This window comes from Homo sapiens, chromosome 9 (assembly GCF_000001405.40).
Source record: "Homo sapiens chromosome 9, GRCh38.p14 Primary Assembly".
Classification (NCBI taxonomy): domain Eukaryota; kingdom Metazoa; phylum Chordata; class Mammalia; order Primates; family Hominidae; genus Homo; species Homo sapiens.
The window spans coordinates 125,760,458-125,778,941 of record NC_000009.12 but is presented as its reverse complement, the minus strand read 5'-3'; the positions used below and the strand labels follow the sequence as shown (position 1 = coordinate 125,778,941).

The 18,484-nt window shown below is 36.1% G+C and overlaps 1 protein-coding gene across 10 annotated transcripts in view, besides 2 other annotated features; it reads right to left on the bottom strand.

Annotated features, from left to right (window-relative positions):
- Nucleotides 1-18,484, bottom strand: part of PBX3 (PBX homeobox 3) — a 220,005-nt gene that overhangs the window by 188,436 nt on the left and 13,085 nt on the right. The gene's annotated exons all lie outside the window — the stretch shown is intronic.
- Nucleotides 529-1,029: an enhancer, noted in NCBI's record as "H3K4me1 hESC enhancer chr9:128540192-128540692 (GRCh37/hg19 assembly coordinates)". NCBI's record gives its function as "activates a minimal SCP1, AML or CMV promoter by ChIP-STARR-seq in naive H9 embryonic stem cells {active_cell/tissue: H9 hESC(naive)}" and the evidence as "EXISTENCE:reporter gene assay evidence [ECO:0000049][PMID:30033119]".
- Nucleotides 15,779-18,346: an enhancer, noted in NCBI's record as "VISTA enhancer hs1102". NCBI's record gives its function as "enhancer in: branchial arch[3/7]" and the evidence as "EXISTENCE:transgenic organism evidence [ECO:0001131][PMID:17130149]".

Sequence of the window (18,484 nt, the reverse complement as noted above, 5' to 3'; positions counted from 1 at the left end):
TACACTTAAAATGGTTAAAATGGCATTTTTGTGATGTATATCTTTTGCTACAAAAAGAACCATTTTTTAAAGAAGCAATGGTGAGCAAAGTTGGTAAATCTGTAGGTAGATCCAATAAAGCCTTGACAATTCAAAGAAAAGTAATAATTAATTTATGGCCATACAAACAGGGTGAGGCTAGTACTCCAAACAGCAAAGCCTAGCATGCCCAGTACCGGGCAAAGAGCAGGGGGAGACACGGGCTGTGTCTACACAAGGAGCATGCCTTTCTAGCACAGGTGTTAAAACTTTAGGACAATTTATTAAAGAAATAGAAAATATGAAAAAAAAAAAAAAGAAAAGATCAACAAAATTGATAAACTTTAGCTACACGAAGGAAAAAAAAGGCCGGGCGCAGTGGCTCACGCCTGTAATCCCAGCATTTTGGGAGGCTGAGGTGGGTGGATCACGAGGTCAGGAGTTCAAGACCAGTCTGGTCAAGATGGTGAAACTCTGTCTCTACTAAAAATACAAAAAATTAATCAGGTATGGTGGCAGGCGCCTGTAATCCCAGCTATTCGGGAGGCTGAGGCAGAGAATTGCTTGAACCCAGGAGACGGAGGTTGCAGTGAGCCAAGATCATGCCACTGCACTCCAGCCTGAACGACAGAGTGAGACTCCGTCTCAAAAAAAAAAAAGAGGGCCAGGCACGGTGGCTCACACCTGTAATCCAAGCACTTGGGGAGGCCAAGGTAAGTGGATTACCTGAGGTCTGGAGTTTGAGACCAGCATGGCCAACATGGTGATACCCCATCTCTACTAAAAAATACAAAAATTAGCCAGGTGTGGTGGTACAAACCTGTAGTCCCAGCTACTTGGGAGGCTGAGGCAGGAGAATCGCTTTAACCTGGGAGGAGGAGGTTGCAGTGAACCAAGATCACACCACTGCACTCCAGCCTGGGCAACGAAGTGACACTCCATCTCAAAAAAAAAAAAAAAGAGAAGATTTGAAAACAAAAATCAGAAATGAAAGTGGAGACGTTCCCACCAACCTTACAGAAATAAAATGGATTATGAGAGAATTATACAAATAATTATATACCAACAAATTAGATAACTTGGAAGAAATGAGCAAATTCCTTGAAACACACAAATTACCTTAAGAGATTCCAGAAGAAACAGAAATCTGAACAGATCTATAACAAAGAAAGAGAGTAAAGTAATCAAAAAATCTTCCAAAAAAGCCCAGGACCAAATGGCTTTTCTGATGAATTCTACTAAGTATTTAAAGAATAATTAGGCTGGGCGTGGTGGCTCACGCCTGTAATCCCAGCACTTTGGGAGGCCGAGGCGGGCAGATTGCCTGAGCTCAGGAGTTTGCGACCAGCCTGGGCAACATGGTAAAACCCCGTCTCTACTAAAATACAAAAAAAAAAAAAATTAGCCAGGCACGGCAGCTTGCACCTGTAGTCCCAGCTACTTGGGAGGCTGAGGCAGGAGAATTGCTTGAACCCAGGGGGTGGAGGTTGCAGTGAGCCCAGATCACGCCACTGCACTCCAGCCTGGGTGACAGGGTGAGACTCCATTTCAAAAAAAAAAAGAAGAAGAAGAAGAATTAAACCAGCACTCCTCAAACTCTTAAAAAGAAGAGGCTGGGAGCAGCGGCTCACACTTGTAATCCTAGCACGTTGGGTGGCTGGGCCAGGCAGATTACCTGAGCTCAGGAGTTCAAACCAGCCTGGGCAACGTGGCAAAATCCCATCTCTACTAAAAGTACAAAAAAATTAGCTAGGCATGGTGGCACATATCTGTAGTCCCAGCTACTCAGGAGGCTGAGGCACAAGAATCGCTTGAACCTGGGAGGCAGAGGTTGCAGGTTGCAGTGAGCCAAGAGCGCACCACTGCACTCCAGCCTGGTGACAGAGACTCCGTCTCAAAAAAAAAAAAGAAAAGAAAAGAAAAATCATGTGTCAGCCAGGCGCAGTGGCTCATGCCTGTAATTCCAGCACTTTGGGAGGCAGAAGCAGGCAGATCACTGGAACTAATCTCAAAAACAAACAAAAATAAGCCACAATACTTCTATCTGATTCCATGATGAAAGTAATATTAATATCATGCAGACCAGGCACAGTGGCTCACACCTGTAATCCCAGAACTTTGAGAAGCTGAGACAGGTAGACTGCTTGAGTGCAGGAGTTCAAGACCAGCCTGGGGAACATGGCAAAACCCCGTCTCTACAAAAAATACAAAAAAAATTAGCCAGGCATGGTGGCATGTGCCTAAAGTCCCAGATACTCAGGAGGGGAAGCTGAGGTGGGAGAACCACTTGAGCCCGGGGGGCAGAGTTTGCAGTGAGCCAAGACTGCATCACTGCCTTCCAGCCTAGGCAACAGAGCAAAAGCCCATTTAAAAAAAGAAAAGAAGTACTATTGTGAGACTGAAGCCAGATAAAATTACCACAAGAAAACTATAGACCAATATATTTTACAAGTATAGACACAAAAATCCTCAACAAACTCCTATCTAACCAAATCCAACAACATTTTTAAAGGATTTCACATTATGACCAAATGGAATTTAGTCCAAAAATGCAAGAGTGGTTCAACACACAAAACCAATCAAGGATGAAAAAAAAAACTATTTGACAAAATCCAACACCTTTTCATGATAAAAACACTCAGAAAACTAGAAATAAAAGTGAACTTCCTCAACATGGTAAATAGCTTTTATGGAAAACCCACAGGTAACAATATACTCAATGGTGAAAGACTTAAAGCTTTCCCACTAATATTAAGAATAAGACAAGAATGCCTGTTTCTACCACAGCCACTCAACATTGTATTGGAAGTTCTAGTCAGATCATTGAGGAAAGAAGAAGAAATAAAAGGCATCCAAATTGGAAAGGAATAAGTAAAACTGTCTTTATCTGTAGTTGTCACAACCCTATGTATAGAAAATTTCAAAGAATCCACACCAAAAAACCTGCTAGAGTCAATAAACAAATAAATTTAACCAGGGAGGTGAAAGATTGGTACAATGAAAACTATTAGACATTGCTGAAAGAAATTAAAGACTTAAATACATGTAAAGACATCCAATGTTCATGGATTGGAAGACTTAATATTGTTAAGATGGCAATACCACCCAAAACAATGTACAAATTCAATGCAACTCCTATCACAATTTTTTGCAGAAATAGAAAAGCCAGTCCTCAAAATCATATGGAATTGCAAGGGGCCTCAACTATCCAAAACAATCTTGAAAAAGAACAAAGTTAATACATCATCACTTTCTGATTTCAAAACTGACTGCAAAGCTACAGTAATCAAAACAGTGTACTAATGGAATAAGGATAGACATATGGATCAATGAAATAGAACTACGAATCCAGAAATAAACACATATATCTATAATCGATTTATTTTTGACAAAGGTGCAAAAACATTCAATGAGGGAAAGAATAGTATCTTCAACAAATGGTACTAGGACAACTGAATATCTACATCCAAAAGAATGAATTTGGACCACTACCTCACACCATATTCAAAAATTAACTCAAATGGATTAACCACCTAAATATAAGACCTAAAACCATAAAAGTTTTTAAAAATGGGCAAAAGATTTGAACAGATATTTTTCCAAGGACAAATGACCAACGAGCACACAAAAAGATTATCGTTATTCATTCTTTAGAGAAAAGAAAAGTAAAACCACAGTGAGATATCAATTCACACTCACTACTGGTGATAATAAAAATGGAAAATAATAAGTGTTGATAAGAAATTGGAACTCTGTGGGCCAGGCACAGTGGCTCATGCCTGTAATCCCACCACTTTGGGAGGCTGAGGTGGGTGGATCACCTGAAGTCAGGAGTTTGAGACCAGCCTGGCCAACATGGTGAAACCCCATCTCTATTAAAAATACAAAAATTAGCTGGGTGTAGTGGCACATGCCTGTAATCCCAGCTACTTGGGAGGCTGAGGCAGGAGAATCGCTTGAACCTAGGAAGCAGAGGTTGCAGTAAGGTTGCGCCACTATACTCCAGTCTGGGTGACAGAGCGAGACTCTGTCTTAAAAAAAAAAAAAAGAAACTGGAACCCTGTACATGGCTGTGGGGATGTAAAATGATAGACCTACTATGGAAAATTGTTTGGCATTTGCTTAAAAAGTTAAACACATGATCTAGCAGTTCTACTCCTAGCTGTACACCAAAAGAATTGAAAACAGGTAATCAAATAAATACCTGTACACAAACATTCTGAACAGCACTATTCACAATAGCCAAAAAGTAAAAAAAAAAACCCAACTGCCCATTAGCTGATGAATGGATAAACAAATTGTAGTATATCCATACAATGAAATATTACTCAGCCATTAAAAAAAATGAAGTACTGATATATGCCACAACATGGAAGAACCTTAAAAACATTAAGTGAAAGATGCCAGTCACAAAGAACCAAATACTGTATGATCCCATTTATATAAAATATCCAGACTAGGTAAATCCGTAGAGATAGAAAGCAGATTGGTGGTTGCCAGGGGCTGGGAGAAAGGAGAAATAGAGAATGACTGCTTAATAGGTGACATGGTTTGGATCTGTGTCCTCAACCAAATCTTATGTCAAACTGTAATCCCCAAAGTTGGAGGTGGGGCCTGGCAGGAGGTGACTGGGTGATGGATGGGATTTCTAATGGGTTAGCACCATCCCCCTAGTGCTGTTCTCATGATAGAGTTTTCACAAGATCTGGTTGTTAAAAGTGTGTAGCAGCTCCCCACACTCTTCCTCCTGCTCCGGCCACGTAAGACACGCTGGCTTCCCCTTCACCTTCTGCCATGATTCTAAGTTTCCTGAGGCCTCCCCAGCCATGCTTCCTGTACAGCCTGTGGAACTGTGTGCCAATTAAACATCTCTTCTTTATAAATTACCCAGTCTCAGTTATTTATTTATAGCAGTGCCAGAACAGACTAATAGGTATGGGGTTTCTTTAGAGGGGATGAAAATGTTTTGGAACTAGAAAGAAGTGGTGGTTGTACAACAATGTGAATGTACTAAATGTCACTGATTATATACTTTAAAATAGTTAATTTTAGGTTATGCAAATTTTACCTAAATATGAAAAAAACTAATGTCCTCAAGCAAATAGAACAAATATACACTGCTGTATTGAATATAAACTGGCACACACATTTTGGAAAATAATTCAACATTATCTAGCAAAGTTGATAACGAACATATGCTACGACCCCGCAGTTCTACTCTACTCTCTCTCTCAGGTGGAAAACGACCACTCACCTGGGGTCACCTATGCTAGAAACAGACGCCCTTGTTTTCTCCTTCTTCCTCACATACTACATTCAATTCATTTTAAAAAACAGATATTGAGTGCTTCCTACTATGTGCCAGAGGACAAAACAGTAAACAAAACACAGTATCTCTGCCCTGAGTTCACAATTTCCTGGAGGCAACAGAAAATTAAATATGTAATTAAATACAGTGTCATGAGCACAGTAACAAGGGGGAACACAGGATACTACTGGAGCACATAAGATAGGTTTTCAGACTTAGGTAGGTTATCAGCAGACTCAGAGGTGGTCAAAAGGCTTTCTGAAAGGACATCCAGGCTAGGATCTGAAAGATACATAGGAGTCAGCCAAGTGAACGAAGGGACACAAAAATTCTCCAACCAATCGCCTAATCCTTCCTTCTCATTTTTCAGTTTAAAACCATTGTTTCCTCTTTTTTAACCCCACTATTACCCCATTACAAATACATATCGTCACTGATCTACGAAAGTCTCATAAGTAATATATTCCTTCTAAGTTTCCAAAGTGAACTATATAAAAAATCTGATCAGATCAATCCCTTGTTTGAACCCACCAGTAGCTAGCCAAAGTATAGAACAAAGACCATACTACCCTCGCACAGAACTGAAGCCTCAATGATGTCATCCCTGCCTGTCTCATCACCTGCCTCTACTTACTTAATGGTCCAGCTTGTATTTATAAATGACTCAGCTTGTATTTATCCACATATATCACTCTTTTTTCTGGGGAGAATAGGTAGAGATGGTGTCACCCCATGTTGCCCAGACTGGTCTCAAACTCCTGGGCTGAAGCAATCCTCTCATCTTGGCTCTCAAAGTGCTGAGATTATAGGCTTGGGCCTGCAAACACATGCCCCAGTATGTTTCTCGAAGAGATAAATGAATAGATAAGATAACAGCAATAGCTGCAATTTATTAAGCATCTATTACATACCACGTATCACATTAGGTCCTGTACATACATTCACCTCTAATTCTCACAATCCTGAAAGCTACGAATTAGTGGCCTTACTTTAGGAAAAGAAAACTAAAGCTCAGGAAAAATTAGGTGACTTGTCAAAGTTACAAATCAATTAAGCAGCAGTTCAGAAGTAGGACTCATCTATTAATTTCCAAAATCAGTATTATTCTGCATCAAGCTGCCTCCCAGACTACTCTTACTGTATCTCTCCAAATATCAACACATCTTGTTATTTATAAACTATCTTCCCCAAAGTGAACATCAATTAGAATTGTCTGCCTGTAATTATGTTAAGATGTGCCAAGCTACTTTAGGAGTACTAACCCAGTTCCCAAAACATAAAAGTGAAAAAGAACTAGTAATTATTAATAGCCCGATCACCTCAATAAAGCAATACCTGTCAATCATCCAAGATTGGAAAGAAAAGCAAATTTTTGTTTTGTATAACAAGGTTGAAAATCACCTTATTATTCCTTAATACTTCACATAATAAGCATTTTAGTGTGCTTGAGAGTAGAATGAAAAACGCTCTACTTATCCCAGACACGTAACTGCCCTCAGGAGGCACATGATACAGAAAGATTCACTTTGAATTAGGCAGTACATGCTTCAAATGTACTAAGAGGTTAATATTCTACTTTTCATATATCTACCACCTACCTACCTCCCACCCCACTGCCTGCCATAACATAAATTATACCAGCAGACACAACAAGAACTCAGGTCACACTGGGGTCCCCCTGGTTACCCAGCACGCTAAAATGATAACCTCTCACCCTTGCACTACTCTCCTCAAAATAAAACACATCCCAAGAAATTAAGACCCAACAGGATTAAAAATTCAAATTCTGAAGAATGTAAAGGCTAAACAATGCTAACACAGCCTTAAACATTAAAGGAAAGGAAGAAAAGTAGGTAGGAAATGAGAAAATAAAATTATCAATAGCAAATATTCAGTACCTACTATCAACCAGGCATTATACTAGATATTTTCAGACAAATTATTTCATTTAATAGATCATTAATGTTGCTTAAATAACTGAAAAAAGATATGATTTTACATCTCAATTTTGCTAAAATTAGTCCTGAGAGGGAAGGTATCATGCAAGGAGAGTAACCTTACTTCTTGTTCCTCTATTATTTGCACCATTTTAATGGGAATTTTATATTAATCTTTGACAAGCCATGAAATTTTATATTTTCACCATGACCAACCCATGAAATTTACCAACTTTGTCCATGATTCATACCAGGTCATAGTTATAATGTCTGCTATGCATTTTAGCTAAATAACCATTGAAACTTCTCCCTTTGGACAGAATAAAAAATCTGCCTATAATTAAAACAGGAATTGTTAACTACAAGCAGTTAAAGTTTACAGCATTGTTTGACAGTTGCAAAGATAAGCCAGTAAAAAGCCTGGGATGTTGTGTCTACCTGTACTTCCCACACATTTGAACAATAGTGTGATATCTCTTAGCATCATAAAATCAATCTCAGATTAAGTAATGAAATATGCACCAGCCTTTTCCCAGAACCTTTGACAAATCACACACAATCCTAAATCTTCATAAATCATGATTAAAGACAAGTATATCATCACCAACACATATATCTTCCCAAGCCTGACCCAGAGACTAATGAGAAAAGGCCTAGACTATCTCATCTGATTAATTAATTCAAAATGTCTGCTGTTATTCAAATGTGAGGCTGGTATTATTTGAATAACACTTGACAGCAGCGCCTGAAGATATCATTTCTGATTTGTGAAGCTGCTGCTGCATAACTGATGATAGTTTATGAAAATGTTCCAATGAAGCTGCTTTTCTTGGCACAACTGTGAAAGATTTGCCAAAGAGGTGGTTCTTTTTTTGTCAGTAGTTGATGTTGCTAATGTTGTCAAATATTTCCAAAATACATAATCTCTGAAGTCTTTTTTTCTTAAATATTGCCACAATAGCAGCTTCCCAGCTTCCAAGTCTGATTTGCCTGAACACAAACTGCATCCCAGGAGCCCTCTCTCCTTTTTAAGAATCTAAATAGCACCTTCCCAGGATTCATCCAGTCCCTTCCACTAGCTTTTTAAATTTTTAACGGACTTTGACACTGTGCTGGGCTGAGTAAGAACCTGAGTTTGGGGGTCATTTTTTCCTTACTGAATAGTATTCCTTCCTTCTAAAGTATGAGAAGGAAGATCAAAAGATCTCAAGGTAATACAAGATTTTTTTCATTGAGGAGCAAAAATAAATATATTTTAATGCCTAAGTACTATATTCCCCTTCAAAAACTATTATAGCTTTCTGGTCAAAATTAATGGAGCTAAAGGAACCTCAGAATCAACATTATGTATTTATGTGCTGAACCACTTTTTACTCTGGAGATTTTTTTCAACAGTTCATATTACACATGTCACTATCAGAGAATATTACTGGTAGATTCTTTAACTTACAGGCTTTACTGTTATTTCTGAACTCAAATTTTCCTTCTCTGCTATTATAGCATAGGCTATAAAGACTCTGAATTCAGAAATATGTTAAATACACTGCAATGTACATCCCCCCCACCATCCAAATTTCTTCTTCCTTGCCACTTAAAATTCACTTGCTTGTAGAAGCCTTCTTCATTTACAATTCCCTTCCATTTCCTCTTCTATACATTCCGTTTTTCAATACTGCAAAATAACATTAATGCTTAACCAATGTGATAGCAACAAATACAAATTATACATAACCAGTTGAGCTTAAATAAATTAATAAGTGGTTAAGAGCTAATTAATAAACAATTCACTCAGTTTAAAAAAAAGTCAAAGAATCAGAATATTAAACTGAATAAAGCCTTAGAAATCTCCTCGTCCTACTTCCTTATTTTGTAAATAATCACTCTAGGACTTACCCAGGAACCCCAGGAAGCTTACACTAGTTCTGTATGGAAAACTATGATCCAACAAAATGTGATCTGTTGATCTATCCTTTTTTTCCCTTTATGTGTGCAGTCAAGACTGACTACAGGGTCTGCCTTCTAAGGGCAAAAGCTGTTTCCACACTGAAGAATATTCAGCAGAATACCATACTTGTGTAGGCACTTAACAAATACGCTAAGAGGATCACGCTAATGGCTTCACGATATATTCTGTTGCCTTTAGGATCAGCATACTAAAAACCTGTTTCTTTCCAGGTAAGGTAATCTTTCTGTATAGATATTACAGATGAAAATAAAATAATGCTCTCAGAGCAAATTATATTACATAAGCATTTCACTTTACACAGACTTGTAGTTCTGAAATGGTGTCCGTGGACCCCTGGTGGTCCCTGAGACCCTTTCAGGAGTCCACAAACTTAAAATTATTTTCACAGTAATAAGATATTGGTCTTTTTCACTGTGTTGACATTTATACTGATGGTGCACAAAGCAAAGGTGGATAAAACTGCTGGCGCCATTGCACAAAGCAAGACAGCGGCACCACACTATACTAACAATGTATTCTTTACCACTAGGCACTTAAATTTTTTTTTAAAGGCCAGTTTCACTTCACAATGTCCTTGATGAAACAGTAAAAATTATTAACTCAATCACACCTTCACTGTGTCTTTTTAATATTCTGTGACAAAATACAAATTCTCCACAAAGCACTTAGGCTGCATGCCAAGTGTGAGGAAAGCACTTGCATAACTGTGAGTTGCAAGCTGAACTAGCTGCTTAAAAAAAAATTAACAAATTATGGTTATTTCAGCTTATTTTGGCAGACCTTTTTTCAAAAAGAAACCAAGTAAACCTATACTTCAAGTAAAACAATAAACAGTTTTGGCGCTAATAATAAAATTCATGCTTTCAAGCAAAAATTAGAATTTTGAAACACTGTGTCCTCCACTGTGAGTATGAAATCTTCCCAGCACTTAAAAAAACTGTCCTGATAAGTTTGGTGGTAATACTCTTTCCTTTTCCAATTAGGTATCTGTATGAGGCCAGATATTTCTTCATATACATCAACCATATGATGACAGACTGAATGCAAAGGCAGATATGAGAATCCAGTTGTCTTCCATTAAGTCTGACATTTAAAAGATTTGCAAAAGTGTAAAACAATACTATTCTTCTTATCATTTAGTTTTGCTTAGTTTTGTTTCAGAAAATGCTGTTTAGGATAACATATAACAAGCTGATAATTGTAATAATGTTATTTATGCTAACATAATCGATTTATGATTTTAATTTTTAAATTAACTTAACGTTTTAAGAATTTGTTTCGATTGTTCATACAATAAATAGAGATTAAACCCGCATAAACAAAACTTATTTTAGGAGTATAAAGGAGTCCTAAGATCAAAAAGTTTGAGAATAAATGACACAGATATTCTCTTCAAAAGTCTTTACATAGGAAAGTTTAACAAATTAAATACAGATTCTAACCCAATAAATCATCTACTTATTTTATATACACAAGGATGGCATGTATCTTAAAAGAATTCTATCACATAGCAGAAATTAAATCCCTATAAAGCAACATGAAATAACAAAACAGTTACCAAAAAGACAAACTTGCCCCCCACCACCCCCAAGGACCTTATATCATCTAGGTCATAAACCAGTAATTTTTTTTTTGTATCATTCTTGCAAGGTAATATATGCTAATTACCAAATAAGTTCCTTCAACAACCCATGTCTCTAATTTCAGATTTCCCTCTTCTAAACTCCCCTCTCCCCGTCCCACCGGCCGCCAGCCTTTTTCTCTAGTCCTACTAGCACCTGAGTCTCATTGCTAGCCTGCTCCTGCCTTTCATGTAATTGTTCTATTCCATTTTTCTGATTCTTTCCCCTCAATACACTCAAAGATTCACTACACTCAGAAACGACTGGTGGTCTGAGTGTTTGTAGAACCACTGGGTAGAAAGCAGATCCACTAGGCTTCTCAGAAGAAAGTGGATTGCAGTTACAAATTTGGATAAAATGTAGTTTTTTAAAAAGTCTACCTCTACAAAGCTATTGTTAACCCAAGGTCCATGGTATCCATGAGGGATCCATGAATGATATTCAAGGTGTCTATAAACTCCCTGAAACTGTATTTAAACTTGTATGAGTATGTGCACTTTTCTAGAAAGTGAGCAGTGGGTCCACTGCTTTTATCACTTTCACATAGGAAACTACACTAAAAACAGATTTCCTGCACTACAGCTTTCTGGAGTACCACAAGCATAGATACCTGTGAATGGTGGTATGAACAGATATTAACTATTACATGGAAGAAAGGGCAGATTTTTGAATTACATGACTTTTTAAGAATAAGGACAAAATCAGAATAAACTATTCACCAGCCAAATAGTTATGAGCTTTCCATGTCTTAATGGTTTTCATGAAGCAAAATACTTGGCAGTTGGTTTAATGCCATTGGTTTAATGATGAGATTTAGACATACATATCAGCCTAACTCACCACTTAGCATTCGCCAAATTCACCGGTCACCTGCAACTAAGAGAATCCATGACAAAATTACTTCCAATGGCTTTCCATTATAAATAATTGGGGTTTTGTTTTTTAACTGTTTCAAAATGCTGTTAAGGGTTACAGTTAAAAAGCAAGTGAATATAAAATATAATTTTCCAGGTCTTTCCACCTGATGAGCGACAGCAACACATCAGTGGTTGATTCAAAATAGGAAGTAAACAGTTCAACAATGACTGTAACACAGAGAAGTCAAGTAAGTCTAAAAGAACAAAAAACTATAGCAATTAAATAAATGATACCTTACTGTATTCTGTTCCCAATCATGCTAAATTTAAAATTAGCATTCATTTCAATAACTCATAATCATAGTATTTTTTTACTTAACTACTCTTAGGTTAATCTTTGGACGTGACCCATCTGTCACCTTTAAAGATAATTATTTAATTTATCATTAACTTAAACAGTGATTTCTGTACCTTATAGATAGAAAACTCAGCTAGGAAACTGTACAGTCTAAAATGAATATAAATCAATCATTAAGACAGAAGAACTTATTTGAGAGTCAAAATGAACAAAATATTCTGTGTCAGCAAAATGTCTCTTGTCAAAATCTACTCTTTAAGATTTCATTATAATGTACTAAAACAAATGTCCTTCCCAACTCTATAGAGAAACAAGTCTTAAATCATCCTAATTCAACCCTACAATTTGGAAACACACAAATATTTCCTCACTAGAAAACAGAGTGCTTATTATCATAGTTTTAAAGTTAAAACTTTAAAAGTGAATATTCAACTTTAAGCATGTTACCAGGAGTTTTCACCACAGATTTTTCTATTTTTAAAATATTATCATTAATGATAGCAATGGAGCAGTAATACATATAAATTACTTTACAAATAATTTACATATAAATTACTTAGGATCCAGGTAGGTAGCTATGGCAGTTTTCTTATACTGTATGTATATAGTTACTGTAATTAAAATAAATTTATATGTAAAGAATTAGAAGAATATAGTATCAGATTTAATGTACTCAGCAGATATATATCTAATAATACATGGAGAAGGCATGCATTTATTTAAAAATGTTACTGAGCAGATTCTGTGTGCTAAAAAAAATAGATGACAGATAGTCCCTGCCCTCTAAGAACCTACAGTCCCTTTGAGAATGAAAACTAAAATAAAACTAGTCCTCCCATTCCTAAATGAATTTTTGTAAGATGCCACTATCAGTATTAACTTAGGCCAATTTTATCCAATGATGAACTTTAATGACTCAGAAAATATCAAATTTATAAATTATAATAAGAACAAGCCCTTTTAAGTAGAAAAATAAAATCTCCCATTATTCTCTCCATTCAATCATAATACTCCTTACTTCATCTTATACCCACACAAACTCTTCTTTTTTCCCATAGCTTGTTACCTCAATAATCAAGTCTAGATTTATGACTGCACACCCCGCATGAGTTACTTTGGAGCTTTAAAAATGAACAACAAAAAATAGTGATAATTGGGAATGGTAGTACAAGACCCAAGTTTTAAAGATGAAATATATTTTCAGTTGTCTACTTCTAAGAATGTGTCTGTAAAAGACTTGCAATATAAATAATACACTAAAAACAAATATTTTTAAGTAAAGAAGAAAAAAAACAGGTAGTATTTGTGCTCATATCCCTTCAACTAGTCTTCTGCCCTTTAAATGTGGGGTCTCAAGTGGCCAGTAACCCTATTATCAGATATCAGGAGGGTGTATTGTTTCAATTTTTATAAAAACTAATTTCTTGGTCGGGCGCTGTGCCTCACGCCTGTAATCCCAGCACTCTGGGAGGCCAAGGTGGGCAGATCACTTGAGCTCAGGAGTTTAAGACCAGCCTGGACAACATGGTGAACAACAGTCTGTACAAAAAAATACAAAAATTAGCAGGGCACAGTGGCGCGCGCCTGTAGTCTTGACTATTCGGGAGGCTGAGGTGCGAGGATCACTTGAGCCGGGAGGCAGAGGTTGCAGTGAGCCATGACTGTACCACTGCACTCCAGCCTGGGCAACAAAGTGAGACACCCTCTCAAAAAAAAAAAAAACCAATTTCTTTAAAATACAAATATAAGCAACTTTAAACGATGCCATTTACAAGAACCTGTTACCAGGGTCAGTATCTGTATATAATCTGCTTCTGGAGCCTCCATTAAATAAGGTAATTCAAAGTTTATAAAATTAAAAATAAGGCTTTTATTTTAATTTTATTGATTGGATTTCTTAGATGGCTAGACTCTGCAGCCTTCACAGTAGCCGTCAAGAACCCCATGTCTACAAAACTAGGCAGAGGTAACAGAATATCTAGACAAACCAGTGCAAAGAAGAGGAATAGTGATTTTTCTGCATTTCTCTTTGAACTATAATTATATCCCAATACATAGAGTTCTAAAAATAAAATATAAAAACAAGCTTAAATCTACTATAACTGTCCCTGAAAAGCAAACCTTTGCAATCAGCAAAGGCAACTCTAAGCAATGATCTAAAACTCTAATATCCTAAGGTTCCAAGAACCATTTCGGATCTTAAAATAACAGCTTTACCTTAGAAAATGTAGTGTATTGCTAACTAAAAATTGAAACTTTTTGCAAAACAATATTTTTCTTATAGCATGTAGTTCCCCCAAAAGGCGATAAACTCTTTATTCTTGCTTTGTGCCTTAAGACATAATCTGCTTTTATCCGTTAGCAAAATATGAACCAGCTACTAGGCTGACAATGCCAAGAACCATGACAAAATGGATTATTAATGAGAAACTGAACTCCAGAACTCTATTAATTTATGTCTTCCTGTCGGATCCAAAAGATATATCAGCCTTCTCACTCAAAAGAAAAAAATGCCAACACTGTACTTTGTTTTAAAGTTCTCCACAGATGAAGAATTCATTATCCAAAGTACAGTTCTGTTATTTCAGGCTTTCTTGTAGGATAAAGAATCTTTATCAAATGGCTAAGAAAGCTGCTGACAAGTGCAAGTACCTTGCAAAATATATTTACATCAAACATTCACTGAGAAAAACCAGGGGGAGGGGCAGGAAAAAGGTGAAAGCCCCTGCAACACTCTTATCCCCGCCCTGTCCTTGCAGTCTTTAGAAAACTAAGCTCTTTTGATTCCAGTTGTAAAATAGTAAGCAGCATTAATACAATTTCATGTTTGCAGGCTTTTAAAATTTCTAATTACACTAATTATTCTGACATGAAGGGAAATGATCTAACAAGTGAAGAAAAGAATGTGTGATTTCTTTATGCATAAACAACGTTTAAATGACATAAAATATCCTTTTAAGCTTCCACAAAAAAATCTATCTAATCTATGCTTATCATAATATTTATGAAATAAAAAAACCAGAGAGGAAAAATTGCTATAATGTACTCTGTGTGACCTCTGCTTTCCACAGAGAATGAAAACAGCCTTTTGCTTTTCAATCCCCATCAAAGTGGAGTAAAAGGAGGGACAGCGTTCCCGTGCTCACTGCCATTAATCATTGCTTTCTTCAAGCAAGTGCGTATTAATTTCTGTCATCCCAAACATCATCGAGTATTGTTACAGCACCGTTCGCTCCTCATTCACCACCAGTTGTTACCAGTTTCCCTACACTGAGCAGAGACAGGGTGAATCGTGTGGATTTCAGTGTTAGAGGCCTTTATCCCTGGGGTGCTGACACCAATTAAGCCATTTCAAGAAGAAATGAGAACAGGCCCAACCCTTCCATGTAACAAGAGCTTGCACCTAGCTTTGGCAGGTTGCCATTTTCTCTGGCTTCACACTATAGAAATACTCTTCTCCACATCCCTTTGAATGATTCAGGCTGTTTACATGTAATCGGTAACAATATCTTTTTGTTCATTTCTGCAGGTTCAAACTTAATGCCCAACACAACCTCACACAAAAAGATGGTAATCTAGAAAGATTAATGCTATTATTACAAAATCATTAAATTCAGGTTATGAAATAAAAACATATATGCCTTGTAATCCTGTGACAATTTTTTTCCCCCACAAAGGGCATTTCAAAGAAAAATTAGACTGCAAAAGCTATTGCTTTTCTCAAACTGGGCTAATTGAAGATAAAATATTTTATGCCATTGGCTCAATTTCAGCACTGTATTTGCTGAGAGACTGCATATACACAGGAATATAAACCAGATACTTCCAATATAAATGGCACAGTTTGTGTCCAGTTTAAAGAGGCTTATTACCAACATTGTATTGACATTTGCTTTCTTTCCAAGTCTTTGACTAGGCACTAAAGGCTATGCTTTGTAAAAGGTTACCTCTAAGTCCAAAAAAAAAATCTGCTCAAGTGAGTTTAATTAATATCATTTTTGCATCACTAAATATAGAGATCCATCAAACTCTTTCACAATATTGTTGATTTTTTTGACCGCTTTAGATCGAATCATTCTCCTTGTTTTAGACATTTACATCTGCTTTTAAGTTTTTATGGTTGCCTGTTGGCAGGCAGCAAAGTGGATCTGTCGATGCTACTGCAGAATAATGCAAGGTTTGTTATGAATTAAATATTAGAAACCTTAACACAGCGGCCAATAAGAATTATTTGCCTTATTAAAGCAGCAGAAGACGCTGATTAAATTTTCATTGCATTGCAGTCTTTTTCCCATTTCTGCTTTCAATTCATCATTCTAATGTATGAAAGGCTCACCGAATAATGGCAGGGGGACTTAATTTCTGGAATGCAAATATAGCAAAGAAAATACCATAAATACCCTCCCAGAAAACATTAAACAGTCAGTTCTAATTAAGTGAATACTAACTAAGTAAATATTCTCTTAAAGGGAAAAAAATAACTCAAAGGTAAAGAATTTGAGAAGGAAAGCACAATTACCTATATTACAAATATATACAGATACACATAGTGGGTGGACTATATTTTTTGGGGAACTACACTTCTTGCAATCAGTTAACTCTCTTAAAGGCCTTACAGCACTCTAAAGAAAGGGAATACAGTCATGATTGTACTCAGCTTTGCAGTTCCTGAAAATTTAGTAATTTTTACAAGAAAAAAAATGACAAGAAGGGTAATAAAACAATGTACGTAAAGTAGCACTCAGCCAGAATAGCAACTAACATTTCTGAATCTCTACATTGTTTTAAATTTACAACATTCACTATTGCAAATATATTTAGAATATAAACTGCCCCTGCAAAAATACTGTAATCATATGTCCTATACTGAAGGTTGTTCACATTTTTGCCTTAATATGAGGAAGAAAATGAACTTCAAGTATCCATTTCCCCTAGAGAAAATCTCTTCCTTGAAACTCTGCAACTAATGAAATGGGGATCTATAAATAGCAGCATCATTACCATGAGAGCCTCTACTCGGTACCAGTCTCTGCAGCTGACCCTCTTTATACTAATAACTACCAGACTTCAGTCTCATTCCTCTATAGGGTGATCAATACTGGGACAGTTAAAAATGTGATGGAAATTTAACCTACAGAAATGGTATTTACTTAGCAAGTTTCCTAAAAACACATAGTGCTGCCTGTTCTTAGTATCTTTCTATTCACACTTTATTAGAAAGGTAGGGGTTTTGTGTTATTGTTTTGACTTTTTAAAATTATTATTATTATTAACTGAGATGAGTGGGGCCCTGTAGCTTTTTCTCTAATGTTACGGAGACATGCATCATGACAAGACAAAAGCCATAATACACCTGAAATGCTCCCTGCTGAAGCTCTCTCGATGAACCTCATTAAAATGGTTACTCTATTCCAAATATTATCCACTGAAGCATTACTGTAGTAAACTCTTGCTTGAATTGTGGAATAGTGATGGATAAAAATCAGTGAGCATTTAATCAGTAAATGTAATGATATGGAACAATGTTTTACTCTTACTCAAAATACAATATTTTCAAATGCAATAGATCACTCTAAAAAGTTAACCAATATTAAATATCACCATTGGCTGTAAATTAGACCATAATAAAGAATGTAGCTAAAGGATCTAGCAAAAAAAAAAAGAAAAAAGAAACTATTTATTAGATGTCTATAGAATACACTGTTGCTATGTATAATTTATTGGCACTGAGATATTTATGTTGCACTTCATTAATGGTAAATATCCAGTTACATTTGCATCTCCTAAATATAAAAAGCTCAATTGTTCACTAATTTCATATCTCTTAAAATAAATATGATAAAACGTTCCAGTGGGTGGATGAGTTTAAAGCCTTTTATTCTCAGTGACAAAATTATTGATGACAACATATCATAAATGGCACTTCCTCCATATACACATGTCATAAGAAAATGTAAAATATTGGTACAGCTGCACATGTAGAACATTTACTTTTTAAATGAAAATATGACATTTCAACATTACACACAACGTGGCTTAATCAAGAAAATATATGTGAATTCAAAGGTGACATCAAATTTCACACATGCTTAACTTCATATTCAGTGTACTTGTAGGTACTTATATGCACAGAAAAATGTAATTAGCCTAATTTAAACACAAAAGGTATGGTTCATTTTGGCACAATCAGATGCACAATGTGCCATCATGCTGTGTTCACTAATGTTTATGTTTACCAAATTATTGTTACTATCCAAGTAAAACTATGAAATAGACCACAGAAATTTAAATACAATTTTGAAAAAATAATTTTTAAAACATACTGTAGATAGAATTCTAATAGTGGTATACAATATCATCACAATATGCCATGCTAATATTATTTTATAAATTCTACAAGCAAAATGAATTTGTCCAC